Source organism: Homo sapiens, chromosome X, assembly GCF_000001405.40.
Source record: "Homo sapiens chromosome X, GRCh38.p14 Primary Assembly".
NCBI lineage: Eukaryota > Metazoa > Chordata > Mammalia > Primates > Hominidae > Homo > Homo sapiens.
In genome coordinates this window covers 89,286,873-89,294,754 of record NC_000023.11, presented here as the reverse complement: position 1 = coordinate 89,294,754, position 7,882 = coordinate 89,286,873, and the positions used below count along the sequence as shown (strand labels likewise).

Below are 7,882 nucleotides of genomic sequence, written 5' to 3'. Positions count from 1 at the left end.
CACATGAGATGGGTTTCCTGAATACAGCACACTGATGGGTCTTGACTCTTTATCCAATTTGCCAGTCTGTGTCTTTTAATTGGAGCATTTAGTCCATTTACATTTAAAGTTAATATTGTTATGTGTGAATTTGATCCTCTCATTATGATATTAGCTGGTTATTTTGCTTGTTAGTTGATGCAGTTTCTTCCTAGTCTCGATGGTCTTTACATTTTGGCATGATTTTGCAGTGGCTGGTACCAGTTGTTCCTTTCCATGTTTAGCACTTCCTTCAGGAGCTCTTTTAGGGCAGGCCTCGTGGTGACAAAATCTCTCAGCATTTGCTTGTCTATAAAGTATTTTATTTCTCCTTCACTTATGAAGCTTAGTTTGGCTGGATATGAAATTCTGGCTTGAAAATTCTTTTCTTTAAGAATGTTGAATATTGGCTCCCAGTCTCTTCTGGCTTGTAGAGTTTCTGCTGAGAGATCTTCTGTTAGTCTGATGTGCTTCCCTTTGAGGGTAACCTGACCTTTCTCTCTGGCTGCCCTTAACATTTTTTCCTTCATTTCAACTTTGGTGAATCTGACAATTATGTGTCTTGGAGTTGCTCTTCTCGAGGAGTATCTTTGTGGCGTTCTCTGTATCTCCTGAATCTGAATGTTGGCCTGCCTTGCTAGATTGGGGAAGTTCTCCTGGATAATATCCTGCAGAATGTTTTCCAACTTGGTTCCATTCTCCCCGTCACTTTCAGGCACACCAATCAGACGTAGATTTGGTCTTTTCACATAGTCCCATATTTCTTGGAGGCTTTGCTCGTTTCTTTTTATTCTTTTTTCTCTAAACTTCCCTTCTCACTTCATTTCATTCATTTCATCTTCCATCGCTGATACCCTTTCTTCCAGTTGATCACATCGGCTCCTGAGGCTTCTGCATTCTTCACGTAGTTCTCGAGCCTTGGTTTTCAGCTCCATCAGCTCCTTTAAGCACTTCTCTGTATTGGTTATTCTAGTTATACATTCTTCTAAATTTTTTTCAAAGTTTTCAACTTCTTTGTCTTTGGTTTGAATGTCATCCCATAGCTCGGAGTAATTTGATCGTCTGAAGCCTTCTTCTCTCAGCTCGTCAAAGTCATTCTCTGTCCAGCTTTGTTCTGTTGCTGGTGAGGAACTGCGTTCCTTTGGAGGATAGGTGCTCTGCTTTTTAGAGTTTCCAGTTTTTCTGCTCTGTTTTTTCCCCATCTTTGTGGCTTTATCTACTTTTGGTCTTTGATGATGGTGATGTACAGATGGGTTTTTGGTGTGGATGTCCTTTCTGTTTGTTAGTTTTCCTTCTAACAGACAGGACCCTCAGCTGCAGGTCTGTTGGAGTACCCGGCCCTGTGAGGTGTCAGTCTGCCCCTGCTTGGGGGTGCCTTCCAGTTAGGCTGCTTGGGGGTCAGAGGTCAGGGACCCACTTGAGGAGGCAGTCTGCCTGTTCTCAGATCTCCAGCTGCGTGCTGGAAGAACCACTGCTCTCTTCAAAGCTGTCAGACAGGGACATTTAAGTCTGCAGAGGTTACTGCTGTCTTTTTGTTTGTCTGTGCCCTGCCCCCAGAGGTGGAGCCTACAGAGGCAGGCAGGCCTCCTTGAGCTGTGGTGGGCTCCACCCAGTTCGAGCTTCCCCTCTGCTTTGTTTACCTAAGCAAGCCTGGGCAATGGTGGGCGCCCCTCCCCCAGCCTTGCTGCCACCTTGCAGTTTGATCTCAGACTGCTGTGCTAGCAATCAGCAAGACTCTGTGGGCGTAGGACCCTCTGAGCCAGGTGTGGGATATAATCTCCTGGTGCACCGTTTTTTAAGCCCGTCAGAAAAGTGCAGTATTCAGGTGGGAGTGACCCGATTTTCCAGGTGCCGTCTGACATCCCTTTCTTTGACTAGGAAAGGGAACTCCCTGACCCCTTGCACTTCCCGAGTGAGGCAATGCCTTGCCCCGCTTTGGCTCATGCACGGTGCACGCACCCACTGACCTGCGCCCACTGTCTGGCACTCCATGGTGAGATGAACCCGGTACTTCAGATGGAAATGTAGAAATCACCCGTCTTCTGCGTCGCTCTCACTGGGAGCTGTAGACCGGAGCTGTTCCTGTTAGCCATCTTGGCTCCTCCTCAACATTATCTTTTCTATATTTATCCCTCTTGATACAAGTAAATCAACTGAATTCATTTCTAATATTATATACTATTTTCTTATAAAAATAAGCTATCTCTAAGTCACCGATTTTCCTATTGGCAGAAAGTTAATTTATTTACACTTTATTTGCTGATATAAACAAGCGCTAAAGTAAATACTTTTTTTCATATGTTTCCTGGCATATATAAAATAGAACATATCTGATATAGACATTGAGGGTTGGAATTGTCTGGTCATGAAATATGCACATTTTTAATCTCACGAGATATTACCAAATGGCTCCCAAAAGTGATCATACCAATTAAAACTCTAATAAGTATTGTGTAAGAGTGTTCTTAAGTCTACATATTTCCCTACATTGGTGTTTATCAGTTGATCATACTTCCCAATTTCTTTTTTTTTAAATTCAACTTTTTTTTTAGATACAGGGCGTACATGTGCAGATTTTTTACATGGTTATATTGCACCCAGGTACTGACATATTACCCAATAGGTAGTTTTTCAACCCAGCTCCTTCTTTCCACCTCCCCGTCTAGTAGTCCACAGTGTCTGTTGTTCCCTTGTTTGAGTCCTTGTGTGCTCAATATTTAGCTACTATTTATAATTGAGAAAATGTGTTACACATACACCATGAAATACTACACAGCTATAGAAAAAAAAATAAAAGCATGTCCTTTGCAACAACATGGATAGAACTGAAGGCCATAATCCTAAGTGAATTAACACAGGAACAGAAAACCAATTTCTGATTTTGACTGGTGTATTTAGACTATTCAGGTATAAAGTGATTCCAAATATATTTGGAAGAAACTATATATACTATCTGTTTCTTTTTTTTTTTTTTTTTTTTTTTGAGACAGAGTTTCACTCTTGTTGCCCAGGCTGGAGTGCAATGGCATGATCTTTGCTCACCTCAACCTCCACCTCCCAGGTTCAGGTGATTCTCCTGCCTTAGCCTCCCGAGTAGCTGGGATTACAGGCATGCACCACCATGCCTGGCTAATTTTGTATTTTTAGTAGAGACAGCATTTCTCCATGTTGGTCAGACTGGTCTTGAACTCCTGACCTCATGTGATCTGCCTGCCTCAGCCTCCCAAAGTGCTGGGATTACAGATGTGAGCCACGACGCCCAGCCTATTATCTTTATGCTTTGTATTAATTGCATTTGCTCTTTCTTTTAAATGTTTCCTTCTGTGGCTCTCTCTGCTATTTATTGAACATTTATTATGATGCCATTTGTCTTCCATACTGACATATCATTTATAATTCCTTTTCATCATTTTAGTGGTTGCCTGAGGGTTTACTATATACATTTTTAAACAATCTAAGTTCCTCTTTAAATAATACTATTTCATTCAGATATAGTGCAGGTAATTTATGATATTCTTAATTCCTCTCTCATCTCTTCTGACACAGTCATCATTCATTTTATTTAAACATATGCTATAAATACTTCATACATTGTTATTATTATTGTTTTAAAGTGTCAATTATCTTTTGGGAAATTAAGAAAAACATAAAAGATATTTTACCTTTATTTATTTGTTGTGCTCCACTCTTCTTTTTTTTGTATATTCTCAATTTTTCTGACCTATATAAGTTTCTTTCTGTGAAGAACTTCCTTTAACAATTTTTGTAGGGCTAGTCTACTAGTAATAATTTTTTTTTTGAGAAAGGATTTTTTTTCAATCTTAAAGTACATGTTTTGCTGAGTATAGAATTTTTGATTGGCAGAATTTTTCTTTTAAAATTTTAAATATTGTATGCCATTATTTTCCTGTTGACATAATATCTGATAAGACGTCTTCAGCAATTCTTATCTATGTTTTGTTATGTGTGATAATTAATTTTAAGTGTCAATTTGGATACCTCATTGTGCCCAAATATTTGGTCACACATTATTCCAGATATTTTTATGAAGATTGTTTTCCATGAGATTAGCATATAAATTAGTCAACTTTGAGCAAAAGAGATTTCCCTCTGTAAGTTGGGTGGGTCTCATCCACTCAGTTAAGAACTGAATAGAACAAAAGTACTGACTTCCCCCAAGCAAAGAGTAATTCTGCCAGTAGATATCCTTTGGATTTGAACTGCAATGTTGGTTCCTTCCTGAAACTTTATTTTGATGGCCTTCAGACTTGAACTACATTATTTGCTCTTCTTTGGGTCTCCAACCTGCCAATCCATCCTGCAGCTTTTGGATTTGCCTGCTACCATAATCATGTGAGCCAACTTCTTAAAATAAACTTCTGTATCTCTCTCTCTATGGAGAGACAAAAATAGAGCCTATTGGTTCTATTGTTTATATTTTTTGGGAGAATCCTGACTAATACAGTGTGTTATCTTTTCTTAGGGTTCTCTAAGCTTCTTAGATCCATGTATTGGTGACTGTCACTAATTTAACATTTTTCAACTACTATTTCTTCAAATTTTTATTTTGTTTCATTTTGCCTTTTTCTTCTAGTATTACAGTTTTGCAGATATTTTCCCACAGTTCTTGAATGTTCTGTTCTATTTTTGTCACTTTTTTATTCAATTTCAGTTTGAAAATTTTCTATTTACCTGTCTTCAAATTTACTGACTTTTTATTTAGTTGTGTTGGGTATACTGATGAACTATGGAGAGCATTCTTCATTTTTGTTGCCATATTTTTTAAAAATAATTTATAACCTTTTCTTTTTATTCTTACAATTTGCATCTCTCCTCTTATGTGACCCTTCTGGTTTTGCCTGTCCTGTACCTTTTTCATTAGAGATTTTGACAAGGTAATCATAATCATTTTTAAATTTCCTCTCTGACAATTCCAACATTCATGTCATAAGTGAGTCTGTGTCTCATTAATACTTTGTCTTCTGACTGTGTGTTGTTTGTTTATTTGTTTGCTTCTTGCCTTTTGGGCATGTCTTAGAACTTTTTGTTGAATGCTGAACATATCATATATGTTAATAGATGTTTGGTATACATGTTATCTGGCCAAGAGTTGTGTTATGTTTGATGTTTGTTGTAGCTATGGACACTGGAAGATTCATATTTCTCTAGTAATCATGTTTTTTTTCTCTCCTCTTGAATTTTGGGCTTCTCTATTCTGCTTCTCAGAAAGTTTTATTTATTTATTTTTTCTTTTAGCTCTTTTAGTTGTAATCCACTGTAACCATTATTGGAGGCATTACTAGTATAGTGATCATATAGGAAAGAAGGATATAAGGCATTCTCTAGGTTTTATGTTTTATTCTCAAGTTTTGGAATGCATAGTAAGCTGTGTTTCAGAGCTGTGACTTTTGTAATTCGTGTTTCTTTTTTTTCTTTAGGGGTAGACTCTTTTTCACCCTGCCTCCTAATTCCTTCCCTTCCCTTGGCAGAGTCACAAAGGGAGCACTCTTAGGATTTTTCTAAATCCACTCTATGAAAGCCTGGTGGAGCTTCTGCAGGAAAGCCTACAGAAATGAGGGGTATTCCTGTGACTGCAGCCTCCAGAAGCTAGCCCACATTTGGGCACCATAAATTCATCAGAATTTCTAGTTTAATGTTCTTACTGCCTTCTAGGGTGTCTGGCAGTGTCTGCTCCAGATAAGAAATTGCTCATGTGTTTTGTCCTTCTGAAAATAACTGTTTCTAAATATTTCAAGGAAATCCAGTAACTTCACTTCTCTGATGAGTCCAAAAAGTGTCAACTGTTTTTCAGTTTTTCCAGCTTTTCCTTGTTAAAAGAATGAAAGTGACAAATTCTAAGCTCTTATTTGTCTTAGCTGATCTATCTTAGATTTCTGAAGTATCCAAACATGTCATTAGCAATGATATGGAAGGAAAATTCTGGGAAAGGAAGGGCATGATCCCTTTAAATTATACGGAAGGGGGTAAGGTTGTGGTCCCTGGCTAGGACTCCACACCCAGGCCTGTGGCCACAGACCTACATGAGGACAGGCATTTTTGTTTTCCTGCCCAAATGTTGCATTTCCCAAGACCACCCTGGCCTGCCACGGCCCCATCCTGTGCCTGTAAAAACCCCAAGATGCTAGCAAGCAGACACACAGGTGGCTGGACATCGAGAGGAGCACATCAGCGGAGGAACACACGGACGGTTGGATGTCGAGAGGAACACACTGAACATGCTGGCAGGCCACCGACCAGCAGAATGACACAGAGTTTGGTTGGGGCAGTTGGAGGAGAGTCCAGGCCTCCAAGTGGCCCGACTCTAGGGGAAAATCTTCTCCCTTCTGGCTCCCCCACTGCTGAGAGCTACTTCCATTCAATAAAACCTTGGACTCATTCTCCAAGCCCATGTGTGATCCAATTCTTCCCGTACTCCAAGGCAAGAACCCTGGGATACAGAAAGCCCTCTGTGCTTGCGATAAAGCAGGGGTCTAATTGAGCTAACACAGCTACCTATGCATGGCTAAACTAAAAGAGCACCCAGTAACACATGGTCACTGGGGCTTCAGCTGTAAACATTCACCCCTGGACACTGCCATGGGTCTCCCTGCCCATCTGTATGCTCCCCTAAAGGTTTGAGCAATAGAGCACTGAAGAAGCAAGCCACATCCCCATTTCACACCCTGCAAGAGGGACAAGGGAACTTTTCCCATTTCAGCAACATCATATATATATGATCATACATGATATATATATGATATATAATTTATATAATGTTGCAAATTATAAAATATATAAAATATATTAAGTAAAATTTCCTGACAAATATTTAAAATTGGGATAGTAGAAAGCATCCTTGTCTTTTTCCTAAATATAACATTTATTTTCACTGTTTCTCAGATAAGAATTTTGTTGGCTGTTGGTTAGTTATTCACCTCAAAAGAGTTTAAAGTTCACAGTTGGCAGAATTTCTTATAGTCTTAGTAGGACTGCCCGTCTCTGAGCATTGACATCATTTTCAACATGATTTAGGCAGCTAGCATAGACATCCACTTGCTTTTTGTAATGTAGTCTTTCCCTAGGATGAACATCACATCAACCTATTAGAAAATATATCGGCAAACTCAGAGAGTTCCTACTCATGGAGAGACCCTAAAATTATACTAATAATTAGAATAATTATTCACCTCCATGTAAATGACAATAGAGAAAATTATCTTTATGACTCTTGTCCTTGCTTACTTTGATGATCACAAGGGGGCCAAGACTCCAAAATTCTCTATCATAAAGTGGATCGATTTTTATCTTCTCATGGCAGTGTATATACCATAATATGTACCCATTTTCAATCTATTCTGAATGCCTTAAATCCTCTCACTGTGCTCTCTAATGGAAAAATGCTTCAATGTTTTCCTGGATGTATCCTTTACCTTCTTAAATTTTCTGGATGTCTCCAGAGGACAGTGTTTCCCCCAGGAGCTAAGATGAGTGAAAGAGATTCTATTACCTCACATTCTATGACCTAGTGGGCCTGAGAATATATTGTCTTAGTTTTTTTTTTTTTTTTGCCAATTCTGGACCATTATTCTTCCCTTCTAATTTACAAAAAGAAAAAATATCCTTTGAATTGCATGCCATACTATACTATATATTATATATGGTGTTAGTATAACATTTGTATTAGTCTGTTCTCACACTGCTGTAAAGATATTAGTCTGTTCTCACACTGCTATAAAGATACTACCCAAAACTGGGTAATATATAAAGAAAAGGGGTTTAATTGATTCACAGTTCTGCATGGCTGGGGAGGCATCAGGAAACTTACAATCATGGTGGAAGGGGAAGCAAGCACCTTCTTCTTAAG

General features: G+C 38.8%; 1 annotated feature.

Moving 5' to 3' along the window:
- Positions 1,288 to 1,787: an enhancer, noted in NCBI's record as "H3K4me1 hESC enhancer chrX:88547967-88548466 (GRCh37/hg19 assembly coordinates)". NCBI's record gives its function as "activates a minimal SCP1, AML or CMV promoter by ChIP-STARR-seq in naive and primed H9 embryonic stem cells {active_cell/tissue: H9 hESC(naive and primed)}" and the evidence as "EXISTENCE:reporter gene assay evidence [ECO:0000049][PMID:30033119]".